This window comes from Homo sapiens, chromosome 10 (assembly GCF_000001405.40).
Source record: "Homo sapiens chromosome 10, GRCh38.p14 Primary Assembly".
Taxonomy (NCBI): Eukaryota; Metazoa; Chordata; class Mammalia; order Primates; family Hominidae; genus Homo; species Homo sapiens.
In genome coordinates this window covers 92,080,988-92,103,447 of record NC_000010.11, presented here as the reverse complement: position 1 = coordinate 92,103,447, position 22,460 = coordinate 92,080,988, and the positions used below count along the sequence as shown (strand labels likewise).

General features: G+C 41.4%; 1 protein-coding gene across 26 annotated transcripts in view, besides 1 other annotated feature; it reads left to right on the top strand.

The window, feature by feature from the left end:
• The window catches only part of CPEB3 (cytoplasmic polyadenylation element binding protein 3), a 244,542-nt gene that overhangs the window by 187,786 nt on the left and 34,296 nt on the right, over nt 1-22,460 (top strand). For 24 of the 26 annotated variants that reach the window (XM_047424810.1, XM_024447895.2, XM_011539517.3 and 21 more), the window contains 2 exons: nt 11,504-11,618; nt 21,947-22,128. In XM_047424810.1, the coding sequence (XP_047280766.1) occupies nt 11,504-11,618; nt 21,947-22,128 (297 nt within the window). Of the gene's footprint in view, nt 1-11,503; nt 11,619-21,946; nt 22,129-22,460 lie in introns of those variants that run through there. The other 2 variants (XM_047424820.1, XM_047424819.1) reach the window with 2 other exon arrangements.
• Nucleotides 1,748-2,047: an enhancer, noted in NCBI's record as "active region_3767". NCBI's record gives its function as "activates an Ori minimal core promoter by ATAC-STARR-seq in GM12878 lymphoblastoid cells {active_cell/tissue: GM12878}" and the evidence as "EXISTENCE:reporter gene assay evidence [ECO:0000049][PMID:35858748]".

Below are 22,460 nucleotides of genomic sequence, written 5' to 3'. Positions count from 1 at the left end.
TGATCCTTAGCTTCCTTAGCTCTAAAGTAGGGATAATTTTTAGAGCATATGGTGTGGTGCTGTTTAAGTGTGACTGTAAAATGCCTAGCACAGTAGTGCAATATAAGTGCTCAAAAGTGCTTTTTCTTTCAAAAGGGAATCAGCTATTATGTTTATGCTTTCTGAGTGACGAAGCAGCATCAACAGTCATGATGAACACTAGATAATTCTGATCATTGAGTGGGTCTCACCTAGTGGCATCAGAAATTTGCATTCATTAAGCCCAAGACCTTGGGCATCCACTGGTGACCAAAATATACCCTATTTTCCTACCCCTGGAAGGTAACTTTCAGTGGAGTGAGGAGAGTGATCTGGGAGCTGTAGAAGAGCAGCTGCTGGACATGTTTTGTGACACCAGTGTCAGCACCTCAGGAAAACATTTGTTTACACACCAAACGTGCACAGAGCACTCACTAATGGTTAGGCACTGTGCTGGGCAGTTGGGATCCACACAAATATATGGTTTCAGCCTTAGAGGATCTTAGAGTCCAATAGAGGGAAATAGACATATGACCAGTAAATGACCTAAGGAGCCACAGATGCTCTGAAAACCTGAAAGTTAAAATAGCTGGATAGAAGTATTAGAGGGAGTAGTTGTGACGGGGAGAGCGCTCAAAGGGCAGAGTACGCAGATGTTTCTGAGGCAGTCAGAAAAGCCTTTAGAGAGGTGTTGACTTGAGTCTTCTGAGCATAATATTTAATTGATAATGGCTTTATTAAATCAAATATAGTGCAAAGATATACATAACCATTTTCATGGGGCAGTTTATGCATGCTGTATTTCTGCACTGAGTGCCCTTATGAAACAGTATACCGAATTGTTCGAATTGTTCATCAGTAACTGAAGTTCCCAAAGGAGTTGTAAAGCCTGTAGCTTCCTTGCATCAGATAATAGGCTCTGCAGCCTGGTGATGGGGGCAGGAGTTTCCTTTTTGTACCTGGACTGTTTCCTAAACCTGAGGGTGGACTTGGAGCATCCAAGGAGGATGTGAAAGAATTTCCTAGGGTTACTTTTGGCTCCCTGTCTAGGAAGAATCCTGGCTATTTTGATGAAGATTTTCTATTTCTACTTGGAGACTACTTGTATCTAGGGAATGGGAGGAATAGTCTGAATGTGAGAGTTACAGCTTTTTGCCTTGAGGCCTGACGGAGGTCTGACTGAAGCCCCCAGAGCTACCCAGGATATAGTCTTACTAAGGCTAAAGACTCCTTTCTCTCCACTACCCCCAGAAGATGCAGGGAAGGCATCTCTTCCTCTTCAGCACTTGAGAATAATAGATAGCATCTAAACTCCTGAAACTGGCTGACCTATTTGTTAGGGAGCTATGTGGTCAAAATTACGTTGAAATGAGATGCCAATATCAGTGTGCTGTAAAGAGTCTAAACCACAATTATTGTTGTGGCTCTTAGTTTTGGTGATTAATAATAAACCAACTCCTTATGCCATGGAAGAGATAAAGATGCCTCACAAACCACAAACTAGTTTGTTTGTTTATTTATTGAGACAGAGTCTCTCTCTGTCACCCAGGCTGGAATGCAGTGGCATAATCTCGGCTCACTGCAACCTCTGCCTTCCAGGTTCAAGCGATTCTCCTGCCTCAGCATCCTAAGTAGCTGGGATTTCAGGCACATACCACCACGCCCAGCTAATTTTTGTATTTTTAGTAGAGATGGGGGTTTCACCAAGTTGGCCAGGCTGGTCTCGAACTCCTGACCTCAAGTGATCTGCCTGCCTTGGCCTCCCAAAGTGCTGGGATTACAGGTGTGAGCCATCACACCCGGCCACAAACTAGTTTATTTCTGATATTGCTGGGGCAATCCAGTCATTTTGTGAAGTCTGTGATGCTTAAAATAGAATTGCTGACAGCTGGGGTGGGTCTGAGTTCATCACCACTACAACTGAGCTGTTGCAGCTGTATGTCAGCAGACCTAGGTTTAGCTGACTCATCCTGGCTATTAGGATGAGCTGGGGTGCTGCTTCTTGTTGGGGAGAGCAGTCCTGATGGTTCTGCAGTATTGTTTTTCCAATTTATGTAGACTAAAAGGATTGTAGGATTGGGGAGAGAAAAATGGAGACTTTTTTCCTAAAGAGCTTGAGTTTGAACGGTACTGAAAAGAGGAAAAGGAAAAAAGAAATCAGAGTATGGGGGAAGTAGCTGAGCTCTGAACCAGGTCCTTTTTGGGAAAAAGAACATACGGCTTTGAGGGGGTCTTTGGTCAGATGGTTTCCCGAGCTGGCCACCTGATTGCACTGTTGACACCGAATGGTTTGCCATTTGGAACTGCCTTGAGATGAACAGATGAAAATGAAATCCTATGCAGTAGGATGTTCATGTGATGGGTGTTGTAACCTAAAGAAGGGACCATACAGAGTGAGATGTTAAAAATGAGCTTGACGATATGTATAGGTAGATGAATATCTAAATACTAAATTGTAACTGAGAGAACTCTAGCTGTAGGGATATGTGGTTATGTTGAGAAATTTGAAGTCTTGAGGTTTGTGTTAAAAACTGTTCTTGGCCGGGCACGGTGGCTCACGCCTGTAATCCCAGCACTTTGGGAAGCCGAGGCGGGTGGATCACGAGGTTAGGAGATCGAGACCATCCTGGCTAACAGGGAGAAACCCCTTCTCTACTAAAAATACAAAAAATTAGCTGGGCGTGGTGGCGGGCACCTGTAGTCCCAGCTACTTGGGAGGCTGAGGCAGGAGAATGGTGTGAACCCGGGAGGCGAAGCTTGCAGTGAGCCGAGATCGTGCCACTGCACTCTAGCCTGGGCTACAGAGCGAGACTCTGTCTCAAAACAAAACAAAAAAACAAAAACCATTCTTATTGGCTGGGCGTGGTGGCTCATGCCTGTAATCCCAGCACTTTGTGAGGCTGAGGTGGGCGGATCACCTGAGGTCAGGAGTTCGAGACCAGCCTGACCAACATGGAGAAACCCAGTCTCTACTAAAAATACAAAAAAATTAGTGGGGCGTGGTGGCGCATGCCGGTAATCTCAGCTACTTGAGAGACTGAGGCACGAGAATCACTTGAACCTGGGAGGCAGAGGTTGCAGTGAGCAGAGATCGTGCCATTGCACTCCAGCCTGGGCAACAAGAGTGAAACTCTGTCTCAAAAAACAAACAAACAAAAAAAAACCTATGTTTTCTCCTTGCTGCTGGGGGGAAACAAATATGTTTTCTCCCTGTGGCAAGGGGGGAAAACAAAAACAAAAAATTGTGTTTTCTCTTATCCTGTAATTAAATTAGATACAACAAAAATGTTTTCCTGAGACAAGGGCTGGTTCTGTCGCCCAGGCTGGAGTGCAGTGGCTTAATCATAGCTCGCTGCAACCTCAAACTCCTGGGCCTAAACGATCTTCCCACCTTAGCCACCACATCTAGCTAATTTTGAAAAGGTTTTCATAGAGACAGGGTCTCACTATGCTGCCCAGGCTGGTCTCGAACTCTTGGCCTCAAGTAGTCCTTCAGCCTTGGCCTTCCAAAATGCTGAGATTATATAGGCATGAGCCACCATGCCTGGCCAGAAATGCTTCTTTTTTTTTTGAGACGGAGTTTCACTGCCCAGGCTGGAGTGCAATGGCGTGATCTCAGTTCCCTGCAACCTCTGCCTCCCAGATTCAGGCAATTCTCCTGCCTCAGCCTCCCGAGAAGCTGGGATTTTAGGCACCTGCCACCACATCCAGCTAATTTTTTGTATTTTTTTTTTTTTTAGTAGAAATGGGGTTTCACCATGTTGGCTAGACTGGTCTGGAACTCCTGACCTCAGGTGATCCACCTGCCTTGGCCTCCCAAAGTGCTGAGATTACAGGCATGAGCCACCACGCCTGGCCAAAAATGCATTTTATATTTAATTTTAACTAAGAGGTTCTGGTCAATTGTCAATGAAATTTTCATTTTAGGAAATGATGTTATCATATAGCATTCTGTTTAAAGAAATAATGCATAGTAGAGGTCAGGCACGGTGGCTCATGCCTATAATCCTAGCACTTTGGGAGGCTGAGGTGGGCAGATTGCTTGGGCCCCTAAGTTCAAGATCAGCCTGGGCAACATGGCAAAACCCTGTCTCTACAAAAAATACAAAAATTAACTGGGCATGGTGGCGCATGCCTGTACTCCATGTACTACTGTACTCTAGCCTGGGTGACAGACTGAGACCCTGTCTCAAAAAAAAAAAAAAAGACGAAAAGACCCATATTGCATGTCTTGTTTTTCCTAGCCCTTGACCTAATCGTATCCCTATTAATGACCTTTAGTTTTAAGTAGGATGAAACTTTAGTTTTTATATGGAGCTATAATTATTTTGCTCTTTATTGATAAAAATTTCAAACTGGGCTAGGCATGGTGGCTCACGCCTGTAATCCCAGCACTTTGGGAGGCTGAGGCGGGCAGATCACTTGAGGTTAGGAGTCTGAGACCAGCCTGGCCAACATGGTGAAACCCTGTCTCTACTAAAAATACAAAAATTAACTGGGCATTGGGGCAGGCGCCTGTAATCCCAGCTACTCGGGAGACCAAGGCAGGAGAATTGCTTGAACCCGGGAGATGGAGGTTGCAGTGAGCTGAGATTGCACCACTGCACTCCAGCCTGCTTGACAGAGCCAGACTCCATCTCAAAAAAAAAAAAAAAAAAAGAAAAAAAGAAAAATAGTTAAACTGGTTTGGTAACATATCTTTTATACAGTTTAGCCAGAAAACTTTCAGTTCTTTGAACAGCTATCTAATGTTTCAGTTTAGTATACTCTTAATCATTTAAAGTTAAACTCTATAGAAGCGAACTTTTCAGAGCAATAGCAAGAAATAAGTGAGGAAAAGGCCTGGGATGGAGTGAAGTTTCTGAAAACTTCACACTGAGGTGGTTGAATCACCTGATTTTGAGACCATCCCGACCAACATGGAGAAACCCCGTCTCTACTAAAAATACAAAATTAGCCAGGCGTGGTGGTGCATGCCTTGTAATCCCAGCTACTTGGGAGGCTGAGGCAGGAGAATCTCTTGAACCTGGGAGGCAGAGGTTGTGGTGAGCCAAGATCGTGCCTTTGCACTCCAGCCTGGGCAACAAGAGCGAAACTCCGTCTCAAAAAAAGAGTAAGGTATAGTAGGGCAGAATTATTGGAAGTGTAGGTATTAATAGGTGTCATGCAAAAAATGGGGTCTATGGAAATAATTTTAGAAATGCTGTGAGTTAAACAACATTGAACAGATTTTTTTTTTTTTTTTTTTTTTTTTTTTTTTTTTTTTTTTAGGCAGAGTGTCACTCTTGTTGCCCAGGATGGAGTGCAATGGCGCGATCTTGGCTCACCGTAGCATCCACTTCCTGGGTTCAAGCGATTCTCCTGCCTCAGCCTCCCAAGTAGCTGGGATTACAGGCATGCACCACCATGCCTGACTGATTCTGTATTTTTAGTAGATACGGGGTTTCACCATATTGGTCAGGCTGGTCTCAAACTCCTGACCTCAGGTGATCCACCCACCTCGGCCTCCCAAAGTGCTGGGATTACAGGTGTGAGCCACTGTGCCTGGCTGAACAGATTTCTATAGAATTTCTTAGAGCCTTTAATTAAGTACGCTAATGGGTGCCATGAAACTCCAAGAAGGAGAAGATAATCTATAGTTTTTCCCCAACACTGCTTATCTGGCAGACCAACCCTAGGGACCCATGTTCCACAGAACACACTTTGGGAAACCTTGAAAAGGAATATTAGTGATTTCACTACTAACTGTTGATATTATTAATGTTAAGTTCTTTTAGATTTCTTGAAGGCTGATGTTAAAGTCACTATATGGTATAAATTATTATATTTATACCACTCAGCACTGTGTTTGGTTTTTGTCTTTATTCCTAAAAAGATTTTGCCTTTGGAGATAAGCAGTTATATGAAACAGAAGATAAGAATTTAGAAGATATGTAATTCAGCCAAAAGTAGTCCTCAGGAGAGCTTCCATAGGAATACGTGCTTTAGAGAGAAACTAAAGAAAAATGATTTTTGTATTTTCTCTCATATGTGCTAATGGAACAAAACATTCCATCACTGTAAGCTGTGTGGTAACTAAACTCTTCAAGCCAAAGATCATGGACTGGGTGGGGCCCATGGCATAGATCTGGTCCGCAGATAATTTTATTTAGCCTGTATAGTGACTTTTAACATTTGAATTAGTTCCTATTTTAGAATATTGAAGTTTCACTTAAAAATCTGAATTTCTAGCCACTCTTGAAAAATGGAAAAAGTCTGACAATACTTAGGCAAGTGGTAACTACTTGCTGGAGCTGAGAAGTAGTTTACTCCAGTGTGTTACTGCCTGCCTGCTAACCCAAATGTGGCTTGACATTTGCACTACCTGTCTGACCCTATGGTCATTTGAGTTTGTGTGACCCCTACCATAAGGACATGGCATGGCCCAAAAGCTGGTGCTTCCCAAAGGATACTGCAGCCCCTTTTTAAATTTTTATTTTATTTTGAGACAGGGTCTCACTCTGTCACCCAGGCTGGAGTACAGTGGCACGATCTTTGCTCACTGCAACCTCTGCCTCCCAGATTCAAGTGATTATTCTCCTGCCTCAGCTTCCTGAGTAGCTGGGATTACCGGTGCCTGCCACCACGCCCAGCTAACTTTTGTATTTTTAGTAGAGACAGGTTTTACCGTGTTGGCCAAGCTGGTGTCGAACTCCTGACCTCAAATGATCTGCCCACCTTGGCCTCCCAAAGTGCTGGGATTACAGAAATGAGCGACTGCACCTGGCCAGCAACCTTTTTTTAGAGTCACCTTTACCAGAAAATGTGGTCAGGCTGCTCCAGGAAGAAGTGCTGGAATCATGTCAGGATAATTTCAGGGAATCTTCACTATTTCTGGGTGGCATCCTTATACTTGTCCTCAGGATGCTGAGGCTTTTACTGCCCCTATAGTGCCTACTTGACAACATACTGGAAGAATTGTTTCACTCACACACCTTCTTTCTCACACACAGTCACAGAGTTAGCCCTATACAGTTGTTCCTAGGTTTGCATAAGGGATTGGTTCTAGGACCCCCCTCAGATACCAAAATCCATGGATGCTCAAGTCCCTTACATAAAATGACGTAACCTATGTGCATCCTCCCATATACTTTGAATTGTCTCTAGATTACTTATAATACCTAATACAATGTAAATGCTATATAAATAGTCGTTCTACTATAGTTTTAAAATTTGTATTATTGTTACTGTTATTTTTGTTTTAAAATATATTCTAGGCTGGGCATGGTGGCTCACGCCTGTAATCCCAGCACTTTGGGAGGCCGAGGCAGGTAGATCACCTGAGGTCAAGTTTGAGACCAGCCTGGCCAACGTGGTGAAACCCCATCTCTACTAAAAAAAAAAAAAAAAAAAAAAATCAGCCAGGTGTGGTGGCACACTCTAGCTACTCAGGAGGCTGAGGCAGGAAAATTGCTTGAACCTGGGAGGTGGAGGTTTCAGTGGACTGAGATTGTGCCACTGCACTCCAGCCTGGGCGACAGAGCAAGACTCCATCTCAAAAAAAAAAGTTTTCTATTTGAGATTGGCTGACCCTGCCTTGCAGACTCAGAACCCACAGATACGGAGGACCAGTTTTGTATATAGAGAGGAAATTTATTGAATTAGGACAGAATTCTAATTTCATCTATTCTCAAAAATAATTATTAAAGAAACAAAGATAATTAAAAAGTGGTTATTTTATTTATACTCTCCACAAAATATTTGAATTAGCTTATAAAGTATGATATTACAATGAAGTATATATATTATATATATACGCAATATATATATACACAATGAAAAAAAAAAAATATATATATATATATATAAATCAGGACCAGAAAATATATCCAAACAAAGAGTAAGTCCAGAAGGATAGAACATGGATATCAGGACCTGAGGTCTGGAGAAACAGGCCTTGTGTGAGAATGGGCTTAGATTTAAGAGAGAAACCAGAGTGTGAGTGCAACTTTTCATACAGATAGTACCACAATATTATTTTTTGCTTAGTATATAGAGTGTGTTGATATTGTTCTATGTTGATTAATTCTGCATCTATGTTGATTAATTCTGCAGAGGTGACAGCTCTGAGCAACTGTTTTCTGGTGGCAGCTGGGAAATGTAGGTTTCGTGAATAGGGTTAATCAGCACTGTGTCTTGAGCCCTCTTCCTATATTTTTACCTAATCTGCAATGCCAAGAATAAAGGAATGGGTTGTGTGCAATGTGATGAAGTGAGATCGGGGGTTGGGGAGTGGGCAGAAAAGGCAGTAGGCAGTAATGAAAGCTCTCAGCAGGAAGGTTTGAGATCTTTTGCAGAGTTCTTTTGAGCAGTGGTAACCTACAGCTATTGATAAAAGGCTGTATTTCCTGTCTCAATTAATTGAACATGAAAGCAGACCATTGGATACTACACAAGAATAGTTTTCATTTTTAAAATAAAGTGATCTATGATCAAACGCAATTAACATAAAGTGATTGGAATTACCTTACCAGGTCCCGAAGCTGCCTTAACTGCTTTATTAGGAATGAGATTAGAAGAGAGATTATGTGTAGAAAAAGATACATCTCTGTGTGTGTGTGTGTGTGTGTGTGTGTGTGTGTCATTAGAATCTTTGTTCTCACAGTGTCAGGAAATTATTGTGTATTAAATGAAAAAATTAGTAAAAGGCAGTAGGTCCTCATGAAGGCATTTAAAAGTAATGCTTTATGGTATTAGTGAATCTGCCTTTGTAGTAAATGTCAAGGGAATGATAATTTAGTCAAACAGACCAAAATTTACATGGAAAGAACTGCATTTTTTTTTTTTTTGAAAGGGAGTTTCGCTCTACCGCCCAGGCTGGAGTGCAGTGACGTGATCTTGGCACACTGCAAGCTCCGCCTCCCAGGTTCACACCATTCTCCTGCCTCAGCCTCCTGAGTAGCTGGGACCACAGGCGCCCGCTACCACGCCCGGCTAATTTTTCGTATCTTTAGTAGAAACGGGGTTTCACCATGTTAGCCAGGATGGTCTCGATCTCCTGACCTCGTGATCCGCCTGCCTCGGCCTCCCAAAGTGCTGGGATTATAGGCTTGAGCCACAGCGCCCAGCCAGAACTGCATTTTTTTTCATGCAATAAAGGTGGAGCGAATGTCTACATGTGAACAATATTGTAAACAGGTCCAAGTTTTCAGGGTCTGGGGAAGAAATGGAGATTTTGTGATTTTGTGTCTCCTGGCTAACTGGTGAGGGCAACAGTGTCATAAAAGGCGAAAAGTGGCCGGGCACAGTGGCTCGCTCCCGTAATCCCAGCACTTTGGGAGGCCGAGGTGGGCGGATCCCTTGAGGTCAAGAGTTTGAGACCACCCTGGCCAACATGGCGAAGCCCCGTCTCTGCTAAAAATACAAAAATTACCCAGGTGTGGTGGCAGGTGCCGGTAATTCCAACTACTCAGGAGGCTGAGGCACGAGAATCACTTGAACCCAGGAGACGGAGGTTGCAGTGAGCCGAGATCATGCCACTGTACTCCAGCCTGGGCAATAAAGCAACACTCTGTCTCAAATAATAATAATAAAGGCAAAAAGTTAGGTGAGGGTGAAATTTGTAGCAGTCTTAAAGAATGTATAGACTGGCCAGGCGCGGTGGCTCGTGCCTATCATCCTAACACTTTGGGAGGCTGAAGTGGGTAGATCCCCTCAGGTCAAGAGTTTGAGACCAGCTGGCCAACATGGTGAAACCTTGTCTCTACTAAAAATACAAAAATTAACCGGGCATGATGGCGGGCACCTGTAATCCCAGCTACTTGGGAGGCCAAGGCAAGAGAATTCTCTTGAACCTGGGGGGTGGAGGTTGCATGAGCCGAGATTGTGCCACTTCACTCCAGCCTGGGCAAAAAGGGGAAACTCCATCTCCCAAAAAAAAAAAAGTGTAGACTGTTTCTAACTGAGCAATTCCAGTTTTAAAGTTAATTCAAAATGTTTTGAAAGTATAATTGCCACAGGTGCTACCTTTCAAGTGGAAGTACTCCTGGGTATAAGCCAAGCCACATAAGAAATTATCACATATGTTTCTTCGCATTAAGTATTGATTTCTGAGCAAGGGGGAAATGAACAATTCCATTAATACTAAGGAAATGAAAAGTCAACTTTTTTGTTTTCTATCTTAGTCATTCATTGGTGGAGGGGAGGGGGAATGGCATGTTCCTTGAGGACAGATACCAGGTTCCCTTTCTGCACCCAGCCCGCTTCTCAGAGCATATTGGCTACCTGCGTAACTGGTTGGTTTTGAGACCGTGCAAAATTTGCCTTCTGGTGTGGGAGGATGTTTTTGTGTTTTTGTTTTGTTTAAGCTATTCTTTGATAATATGTTTTAAGGTTTTGTATATAAAACCATGTACATAAAGGCTCATGTTTTAAGGTTAAAATTCTAAAGAAATACCTTATTTTTTGCTTGTGATAAAATAGTACAAACTATGGGCACTAAGTCAGAGTCCCAGTTAAGAAAAATGACCAAATAGAAATATGCCATAAAGATTTCTTTTTCTGCTTTTAAAAAAATTTACTTAAACTTTGAAGCTTGCCTTTATTTAACCAGCCTCATTTGTCAAAATCAGATAAATCCAAAAGAGGTAATTCTCTCTCTTTTTTTTTTTTCCTGAGACAGTCTTGCTCTGTCACCAGGCTGCAGTGCAGTGGCGTGATCTCGGCTCACTGCAACCTCTACCTGCTGGGTTCAAGCGATTCTCATGCCTCAGCCTCCTGAGTAGCTGGGACTACAGGCGTGAGCCACTACACCCAGCTAATTTTTGTATTTTCAGTAGAGACAGGGTTTCACCATGTTGGCCAGGCTGATCTCGAACTCCTGACCTTAAGGGATCCACCTGCCTCAGCCTCCCAAAGTGCTGGAATTACAGGTGTGAGCCACCATGCCCAGCCAGAGAGTACTCTTTGTGCTTTATTGTTATCTTTGGTAATTCTATGCTAACTTGCTGCATGTTCGTCTGTATTAAATCATATTGCTGAAAGATATGTTTGAATTTTGGAGGGTGATGAGAATTAAAAAGTCAGACATGGAGAATTTTTAGAAAATACTCCTGATGTACTTTAGATGAACTCTTAAAACAAAGTGGTGTACTGTGACACGTTGTAAACAGTCTCTATCATGTGTTAAGATGAATCTGATTCAAAATGCAGACTCTGTCTCTAAAAGCCTGCCTTAAAATAAAAAAACCACAGGCAGAGGTGGTTTCTGATGGTTTCATGGTATATGTCATATGTCTAGAGTGCTGAGTACAGTACCTGTAAGTAGATTCCCCAAGAGTTCTATTGAAAGGTACTTAATGCAGATTACGTTAACTAATTAACTGGATTTTGTTTGGGTCATGTTCATTGTGAAATGCACAAATCAGTGGGTTTGTCTTTAGTCATCTTATTCTCATTTGGGGTTGATGGAAATGAAGTAAGGACCAAGTAAACAACTTTTTTTCAGGTGCAAATTCGACCATGGAACCTAAGTGACAGTGACTTTGTAATGGATGGTTCTCAGCCTTTGGACCCCAGAAAAACTATCTTTGTTGGGGGAGTTCCACGACCCCTTCGAGCTGGTGAGTGGAAATAGTAATACCACAACAACAAAACCAACAACAACAAAATCCCCAATGCCTTTAGTCTTAAATATTTTCTAGGTTTCCAGTCAGCTATACATAGTCTCCAAAAAGAAGGCTGTCATCATTTTCACTGAGCTTTTTCAGGATTAAAGGTTTTCTCCCAAAATGCTCTATTTTGTTATGGTGCAAAAGTGAATTTCATTAAACAGTTATGTTGACAAAATGAATTCTATTTAGTGCTTTCCTATTTAATTGCTTATATAAAAAATAATAACACATTTGGCAATGTGCATTCTTATGCCAGTCAGCATTGTTATGTATGACAGAAATCTTTTTTAAAGCTTCCCTGTTGGTTTTTTTTTTTAAGTTCCTTTCCAGTGATGAAATAATTGTGCTGCTGGATTTGAGCAGAATCATAATTGACTGGAGAGTTTGAAGTGTTGTTGAACTGATGGCTTCAATACATATTTAAATCCAAAGACAAATCCAATCAGCTGTACATCAGCCTCCTAATAACCACTATTAATGCCAGTGGAGTATAACAAAATCATTTCTAAGATCTAAGTTTTTGAAGCACTTAGAATAATTAAGTTTATTTTTTTAAAGTAAGACAAAAAAAGTTACTGTTGCCACTGTGAAAGTACATTTCTTTTGTGTTATTTATATGCACATAGACTTAGTTCTACCTAAAATTAAAACAAAAAGCAGAGATCATTAAAATCATGTTGTGAAATGGAATTATAAAATGTAACCTAACGTTATTTAGCTGTATTACTTTCAAAACTTAATTCTGAAAGTTCCTCAACATTTGTAACATACTCATCCAAATCCCAACTCCAGCCTACACCTAAAAGATAACTTTAGACCTATATAAAGACACTCATAATTTCATTTTGAAGAACTTTTAAACATATTTGTTCTGATTGGGTCTTATTTTCTTCATTCGAATGGAAAACTGTCAAATGAAAGATAGAAAGCAAAACAGCAGAGATGCTCCCCTTTTATCTGCAGTCGGAGAATAAAGTCTAAGAAGGGCTAATTCAAACGTGAAAAGCATTATGAGATGGGGGCAAATGCAGCCCTTTGTAAACTGTGCTTTAAAAAAAATGGTGGAGGTGTTGTGAAATATTTCTGACTTTTTCTAACTAGTGTTATATTTAGGAGTGGAGAGGGACAGAAATCCTTTTCCTTATTTTACAAATGGACAATCATTGCTAGTATTCTAGCTATTCCTTTTGCAACTAACTGCAAGCACAAATTAGTTTTTTTGTTTGTTTGTTTGTTTGAGATGGAGTCTCGCTCTGTTGCCCAGGCTGGAGTGCAGTGGCATGATCTCGGCTCACTGCAACCTCCGCCTCCTGGGTTCAAGTGATTCTCCAGCCTCAGTCCCCCAAGTAGTTGGGACTACAGGTGTGTGCCACCACACCTGGCTAATTTTTGTATTTCTAGTAGAAACAGGGTTTTGCCATGTTGGCCAGGTTGGTCTTGAACTCCTGACCTCAGGTGATCCACCCACCTCAGCCTCCCAAAGTAGTTGGGATTACAGGCGTGAGCCACCACGCCCAGCCACAAATTAGTTTTTATGTTCTAGCCCCTTTCCTTTTTTTCCTAGATAGGAATCTGAAAAAATATTCTGAAAAAGCCCTATAGTTATAAAAATAACAGAATTGGCTGTAACTTCTTATGTCTATCTAAGTCACAGACATACAAGTTTATACATTAAACTTCAATTTGTATTATTCACTCTTTATTCTTCCTGTTTTAATGATTTGGAAGGATAGGTAAGGGCCTATGTATCATTTTTCTTCTGTAAATCCTGTGAAGATACCTTTTCCAAAAGGTTGCTGTATGATCACACCAACACTGCAAGAAGTGAACCCCTGGGCATGAAATTATATTCTTTAACATTTGGTATCTGCAAGATGCCACAAATTCTAGGATTAAACAAGAATTATATTTAGTTGTCTAGTAAGAAATGGGATTTTGTGTTCCCTGACTAGATACTATATTATACCTTTCATAATTTGAAGTTCCTTTTTTTTTTGAGACGGAGTCTCACTCTGTCACCTGGGCTGGAGTGCAATGGCCCGATCTCAGCTCACTGCAACCTCCACCTCCCGGGTTCAAGAGATTCTCCTGCCTCAGCTTCACGAGTAGTTGGGACTACAGGCGCACACCACCATGCCTGGCTGTTTTGTATTTTTGGTAGAGACAGTGTTTCACCATGTTGGCCAGGCTGGTTTCAAACTCCTGACCTCATGATTCACCCGCCTCGGCCTCCCAAAGTGCTGGGATTACAGGTGTGAGCCACCGTGCCCAGCCGAAGTTCTCTTTTTTTTCAACTAAGCTAAAATTTTTTGTTTTAAAATGTTTTGTTTTTATAGTTATGTGGATAGTAATCTAAAATCACTTGAATTATTGATAGGGTTCCTCCCATGCCAACACTTCCCTTAAGCATAGCTAGTTTCTAGGTGGCAAAGTAATCTATATTATTGTCTTAGAATTTTACCATTCATCCCAAGACTTCTAGTTTAGAGGGCCATGTTATCAAGACAAAAAGTTAACATCTGCAACTTTTATGTATAATCCTAGGGATTGGGTTTCTTTGAAACACACTGAGCTTTGGGAACTGATGTATACCTTGGAATAGAAGACGTTTTTTAAAGGAATTCATTGTGACTTTGCTAGACAAGCTGAAGTTGAATACAGTACAGTTCACTTGAATGATAAACATTTATTGAGCATCTACTGTATTACTGGCACTGAGAAAATATGTGTCATGCAAAACTGAATATCCCACTATCATGTTAAAGAGGTAATCATTTACAGACAGTCAAAAGATTTCAGAAGAAAACAAATGTGTTTATAGAATGTGAACTCAGAATTAACTGGAGACCAGATTATATTCTTTAACATGATTTTCAAATTTGGTTTTGAAATGCTTTAGAGCATTTTTTATTATTTCCAAGGGATATTCTAGTTATGGAATTTTGGAAAGTCTAAAACTATTTTAAGCATTTTATGTAGACTGATCCTGGACTAGATATGGGTGTCCCTACTCAACAGGTGTGATTTTAGATGTCCAGGTGGATTTTTACCTTATTCAGGGCCAAAAAGTATCCCTTAATATGTCACAGTGACTAAAATGTTATCACTGAAGTGTTATTCCTTTGGATCTTGTGAGTTTTTTTTTTTTAATCTTTGATATTTCCTCATTGTAAGACAAGGACCAATATCACTGATAGTTATTCTGAATACAGGCCTTATCCCTTTAAACAGAAATATACAAACACCTCTTAAAGAAAAAAGGCAACCTATTTTAAGCAGTATTGTCCTGAGTTTCTGGTTCTTTGATAAACCTTCCTTTTAAAAACTCAGGTTGGACCAGCCTGGGCAACATGGTGAAACCCTGTCTCTACAATAAATACAAAAATTAGCCAGGCATGATGGCACACTCCTGTAGTTCCAGCTACTTGGGGGGCTGAGGCAGGAGAACCACTTGAGCCCAGGGAGCTCGGGGCTGCAGTGAGCTGAGATTGCATCAGTGCACTCCAGCCTGGGTGACAGTAAGACCTTATCTCAAAAAAAAAAAAAAAAAAAATTAGGTTGGAAAAAAATCACAGTCCTAGAAAGGAAAAGAAAAGCAAAGCTGAAAATGGGAAAATATCAGTGGAAAATTTAGATGAGCTTACTCATTGCCTGATTGTGGGTTTTTCTATGTCAAATAATACACATTATTACTGTCTCTTCCTTTCATCATTCCCATCGGTGACAATAGCAAGCCAACGATGGTTTGCCTGAAGTCTCCTGGTGTTTATCAGATCTTGTTTTCTTTCTACTCCCCACCTCACCCTGCCCTCACATTAGGAAAGCCTGTAAGTAGACTCACCGTGCCACCATGTGGCTAAAGCTCGCATATTCTTTAGAGTCAGTACAGGGTAATAATGGGCAGTTTGATTCTCCTCCTGCTGCCACCTGGAAGTACAACACGTTGCCACTCTGCTTCATTCACGTAATGTGAATCTCCATACAGAAATAGCCCTGTTGCATATCTCTGTGGCATTAGGACCTCTCCAGAATGCATATCTCTTCACTCTGACAGAAAATAAGTGCCAGACTTGGGGGTTATGATATCACCAGGAAAAAGTAGAGAGTGAGGTATGTGGTCTCTGTACTCTTCCCCAGTTGATTAACATGAGTATTCCTCTGATCCCAAATTTCTTGGTTTTGGCATCTGATGGGAGGACTGCCCCAGTGACCAAGCTTTTGGATCCATTCATTCCCAACCTTGATCAGGCTGGAAAAACTTTCAGTCTTTCTCATTAGAAGCATATAAACTGTTCTTGACTTCATGACTTCCTTAGGCCCTGCAAACAGATCAATCTTGAGAGAGTGCTCATCTGAATCCCCACAACCTACTGTTTTCTCGTTCATCTTTTGGTTCTATCTTTCCTAACAATTGCTGTGATAATTCCTTCCTTTCTTTTTTTCCCCTACCAATATTCTGTGGTGAATCCTGAAATTTCTTTCTCTGCCTTCCCCACCTGCCCTGACTGTTGTGAGGATGGTTTTTCTGTGGGAGGTAAAAATTTGTGAAGTAAATATTCAGAGATATGTGGCATATATCTAGAGAACATATATCCTGAATTTTTCTAAGATCATTTATTTCAGACATTTTATATAAACATTTGATAGTTCACATGTATTAGAAACCATGTCCTGATTTGTGACTTAGGAAACAGGAGTATATTATAACCCTATCCTTTATTGTTGTTTTATGATATGGTTGCAGGCAGAAACCATCCTGTATCAAGTTTTTCAACAGTAGAAGCTTTTTCACCATGTCCTAAGTTCAGTATGGGTTGTCCCGGATAAACTCCAGATTTGGCATACTGACTTGATTAACTGTATTACCTTTAGGGATAAGGGTTTTCCTAATGTTAGTATGTGTTTGTGTCCTCCCTCTGCACCAAAAGCAAACCCTCATCCAAAGCTGATGTCAAACTTTGCCATATCAGTGGCAGGCTGTGTGATATTAGCATAAAACCAAAATAACACTGCAATGAATTGATACTTATAGAGCATAAAACCAGGCCAACTTAAATGTTAAGCAGAGATTCACAGGGTGGGAGAGGGGCAAGAACCCTGGACAAAACTAAACATTTGAATACCACTCTGTCCTCAGCAGTGTGCCCAGAGCTCTCATGGATGTTTAATTCTCACAATGACCCTGTGAGATTGTAAGTGGTAGACTGCGCTTTCGAGATGATGAAGCAGAGTTCAGATAGAGTAACTGGTCTTTCTCAGGTCGAAAGAAAGATACTTTATTAAGCTGAGATCTGAGATGTTGTCTCAGTAACAGTAGTAACAGTCTACTTGGTACCAGTGTACTCTGTCTGATTTAATTCATTGTTCATACCATCTATTTGAAAATATTCTTAACTTCCCAACATATCTGATGCAGAGCAGAAGCTTATGAGCACATTTCTTCCACTTGAAGTGTGTGAATTGCCCTTGAACCAACTTGACAATTGTGGTAAACCTAGAAAGTCCTCCTCAAGTTTAATCTTCCTTTCTTTCAGAAGTCAAGACCTCTTTGATATCTTAAGGTGCCCTATGCCTCTTGCCTATCTGTTTTGTCCTTATTTCCAAAGAGAAGAAATATGGATTATAGATTCGCAGTTTAGAATCTGTAGAGACGAATGTGTTATTTTCCTCTGGAATCCTCATTTCTACTCTATCTCGTTTGGCTCTCCAGTATCTCAGACTCACATGTTGCCTTAGCTGGCTTTGAAATGTATTATAATTAAATGATATAAATAGGGCCCTAAGGTGAACCCATGAAGAAGGAGTCATCATGGGTTTCCTCTCTGGTGAACTAAAGACCCTTTCACATCTTTGTAAAGAATTGGGAGCAGGCCAAGCACGGTGGCTCACGCCTGTAATCCCAGCACTTTGGGAGGCCAAGGCAGGTGGATTACCTGATGTCAGGAGTTCAAGACCAGCCTGGCCAATATGGCAAAACCCCATCTCTACTAAAAATATAAAAATGAGTTGGGCGTGGTGACTGCACTCCTATAATCCCAGCTACTTGGGAGGCGGAGGCAGGAGAATCGCTTGAACCCTGGAGGCGGAGGTTGCAGTGAGCCGAGATCGTGTCACTGCACTCCAGCCTGAGCGATAGAGCGAGATTCCATCTCAAAAAAAGAAAAAGAAAAAAGAAAAAAGAATCAGGAGCAAATCCAAGGAACCATAATTGAAGCTTATATTCAGATTCAGAGATGTAGTCATCACAATCCAAAGGAATCCATGGGGATGCTATGCTCCATATTGCTGCAGTATTCTAGTTTGCCCCTCCAGTCTGTGGCACAGTGACGCTCATCACAAGAGCCAGCATGTGGATTAGACTCATTGTGTTGCTGCTACCATGGAAGTTGTTCATGAGACAACTTAAGTTGTCTTAGGATCACAGAGCATCTTGTCCAAAGTATGGTATACCCTTGAACCATAGCTATTAGACCGCCATCTTCCCACCATGACCAGACAGACCAATGAGCACTGTCTGGATGGGAAAGAAAATAAAAAGTAGTTTGGAAAGTCTCGACTTCCTCGTGAACTATATACCTATTTTCACCTCTGTGTGAACTCTGGATTCCTTCGCCTCTATGCCCTGCTCTGCTACCCTCATTTTCCTCAGGTTAAATGTTAAGAACATCCTCCTGGGAGCTACTTTGTCTCTGCCCTCTGCAGAGGATGGTTTCAAATGAGGACTAGAAATTCTGTTTAGTACTTAAATGAGTTCATTTAAGTATGCTTAATAAAGTATGCTGAATGAAGACTCACTGGTTGAGCAAAAGACCAAATATGAACAGCAGTTGTTTGACTATTGTTTACTTCCCTTCAAGGGTGGTCATAGTATTAGACTTTCTGTAGTTAAAATACAGATGAGGCCGGGCACGGTGGCTCACACCTGTAATCTCAGCACTTTGGGAGGCCGAGGCAGGCGGATCATGAGGTCAGGAGATCGAGACCATCCTGACTAACACGGTGAAACCCAGTCTCTACTAAAAATACAAAAAATTAGCCAGGCGTGGTGGCGGGCGCCTGTAGTCCCAGCTGCTCGGGAGGCTGAGGCAGAAGAATGGTGTGAACCCAGGAGGCAGAGCTTGCAGTGAGCCAAGATTGCACCACTGCACTCCAGCCTGGGCAACAGAGTGAGACTCCGTCTCAAAAATAAGTAAATAAATAAATAAATAATAAAATACAGATGAGGGTAGAGAGGGAGATGGGAAATTTTCATACTCTTCTCCCAAAAACCTCTTCTTAAGTCACCTTGGTTTCTTCTAGCTTCTCAACAAATTGCCCTTCACTTAAGTGAGACCTAATCAACTCAAATGTCTGCAGACTTTTTGGTGGCCAAAAAAGCAACTACATATAAGTTCATAAATGGAAATTATTTATTTATAATTGGTTGTCATAAGAGCATAAGCAGATGAGGGTTTCTGTTTCCTATCAAAAGTACTTAACTGCCAGCAACATCAGTCACGATCTAATCCTTGGAATGTGCAGATGATTTCAAGCAGATAGATTCACAAAGTAATGGAATGTTTGTGCTTCTCTGGCATCAGGAGATCCTGAAGATTTTTTTTTTTTTTTTTTTTTGAGACAGAGTCTTGCTCTTTCGCCTGTGCTGGAGTGCAGTGGCGTGATCTCGGCTCACTGCAAGGTCCAGCTCCCAGGTTCATGCCATTCTCTTCCCTCAGCCTCCCGGCGTCTGCCACCACGCCCGGCTAATTTTTTGTATTTTAGTAGAGACGGGGTTTCACCGTGTTAGCCAGGATGGTCTCCATCTCCTGACCTCAAGATCCGCCCACCTTGGCCTCCCAAAGTGCTGGGATTATAGCCGTGAGCCACCGTGCCCGGCGATCCTGAAGATTTTTTGGAGACCACTGTGGTGTAGAAAAATCTGTGGTTACAGTAACTCTCCTGCTTAGCTGGAGTTTCAAGCTTACCACTCATGTGCCTTCTTTCTAAATCAGGCACTTTATTGAGTCCTTCCTATCGTGGAAGACAAGTGCCATTCAATTCCTTGCCAGCATTCTTTTCCTGGCCATTCACCAGGCTTAGAGATTGTTCCCTCTCTTATTTCACTACAGAGGAAGCCTTGTCTTTTGAAAATTAGTATTTAATTTACAGGGTCCTGAGGTTACTTATTTCATTAAACCCATTCAACCAATAAGGGAAATTCATTAATGACTGCAATTAACAATTAATTTTGCCTTCAGTTTCTTGATCTCTGTTACTGCAGTAACATTAGCCGTATGAGGAGATTCTCAAACCATCAGAGGTTGTTGGGATGAAGTATAAGGACCTCTAATATTTAGGGTTATGCACACAATTCCTGTTACATTGTTTGAATGAATGTGATTCCTGGATCCTGCCCCAAGACTGCAGTCAGCATCAACTTGGCTTTAACGGACAATTCTCCCTTGGCTGATATGGCTTAGTAATTCTGACCATAGTGGTATAATTGAGATAACTTTTTGCTGCTCTGTCTTTAATAGCACTTACTCTTAGGCTTACTTATTACTAGCTTATTTTCTCACCTTCTGAAAATTACTAGTTGGTTGTAGGTTGTCCTTCCTGTTAAAAATAGGCACTTAGAAAACAGTCACCAATAGGCAATCTGGTATGTAAAGAACTTTTGGAGAAGTGTAAACATAGCCTCTCTGATGTAGCAACACAGTTTTTCTTACTGCCTCAGCAGTTTCATAGTACAGAAACCAGTAATGCTTGGCTTTCCTTTTGTTCATAGACATCTAGTGGAGTTCTTATACTATTCAGCCCTTCACCCTTTGTACATTCTGCAGAACTCTTCTCCTAGAAGAGAAGAGTTGTGCTGCTCTCCATCTCCCCAGATACTGATTCCTGTGGAGATCTACTATGTGATGATCTTTGCACATTGGCTGTGGCCCAGGTCATTGTCTGTCTTCCCTGTCTTCTCCTTTCCAAATACTATATATAGGTGTTGAAACAGGTTCTTGGGTCACTTCCCAGGGGTAGTGCTGAGTCTTTTGGACTTATATTATGTGAGTAGCCTAAAAGGAATGGTCATACCTGGAGAAGGTGCTGTCCACTATCAAGTAAACAATTACCTTCAGACAATCTGGTATGCAGGTAAGTGCTACATGTTTTTCTAATGGTACCTTTATTGTTTTGTAACTATACCAATATAAAGGCATACTTAGGCCAGGCATGGTGGCTCATGCCTGTAATCCCAGCACTTTGGGAGGCCAAGGCTGGAGGATCACTTGAGGTCAGGAGTTCAAGACCAGCCTGGCCAACATGGTGAAACCCCATCTCTACTAAAAATACAAAAAATTAGCCAAGTGTGGTGGTGCATGCCTGTAATCCCAGCTACTCGGGAGGCTGAGGCAGGAGAATCACTTGAACCGGGGAGGTTGTAGTGAGCTGAGATCACACCACTGCACTCCAGCCTGGGCAACAGAGCGAGACTCTGTCTCAGTAAACAAACAAACAAACAAACAAACAAACAAACAAAGGCATATTTAGAAGAAATGTGACAAGGAGTACAGGCCAGACCTCTGGATCTGTAGCAAGGTACAACATGGGTATGTTTTTACTATTTGTGTGGCACCTTAGTGCTCTGTGGTAGGTTGTAAGTGCTCAGTAAATGTTTATTGTGGCTATTATCATTACTAGTATTATTTAGAATTCAATGGGAAAGGTTAGTATGGAGAGTTCACAGTTGGGTTAGAATATACTCTAAAATCTTTATTTTTTTAAATTGTGGAGATTTACTTTAAGGCTATAAACAAATTGTCTCTAGTTAAAACAAGCAGTTAGTTAATCCTTTCTATAGCTTAGTCCTAATATAGTAGTGTGACACTAGTAATTGCTTTTAGTCTTAGAGGTTAGTAAGTAGGACTGTTTCTTATTAACTTGTTAGGGCAGCATGAAATGCCTTGCCTACCCAGGGTGCATTCCATTGGACTAAGCAATTAGAAATTAGAACAGGATTACTGGTAGTTCATTTCTTCTATACTACTGCTAAAGTTCTGATTATATAAATTCTTGTGTGTATGTTGTAAATTCCTAATTTTTTTTCCATTTTATTTCAAAACACCCAGTGAGGACCTTCCCTACTTGAGTTGTAAGACTGGTGTGGACATTCTTCATGATACTTAACATGGGTTTTCCTTTTCTTAATTACATTGCATGATCTCTAAATAATTCTTCCTTCTCCTGGGCAAGAGTACCTCCCAGATATTTATACACATCCATGTTTTGTTTTTTTTTTGCAGTTGAACTGGCAATGATCATGGACCGTTTGTACGGTGGTGTCTGCTATGCTGGCATTGATACGGACCCAGAGCTGAAGTACCCCAAAGGTGCTGGCCGCGTGGCATTCTCCAATCAGCAGAGTTACATTGCAGCCATCAGCGCTCGTTTTGTGCAGCTTCAGCACAATGACATTGACAAACGGGTAAGCACCTACTTAGGGTGAAACTGCTATGGGAGAGAAAAGAAGTTTGTTCTGTAGTTTCCTGGGAAGAAAGGCACCTTATGATCATAAGTGACCAGCTCTACCTTGCATGGCATTAGTCCATGAATTCATCTAGGCTGCCTGAAAAAGAGAGCACTGTTGATATTTAAGGCATTAAGGAATCTTCTGCCTCACCCATCCCCAGAGTGATGTTACACTTATGAAAATAATCCTGCAAAATTTAGCATACCAAACTAGTGCTGTTCAGAAGATGACACTGACAGTATGTTAGCAGAGGTGGAGAGCTAGTGACCTGCTTGACCTACACAGTG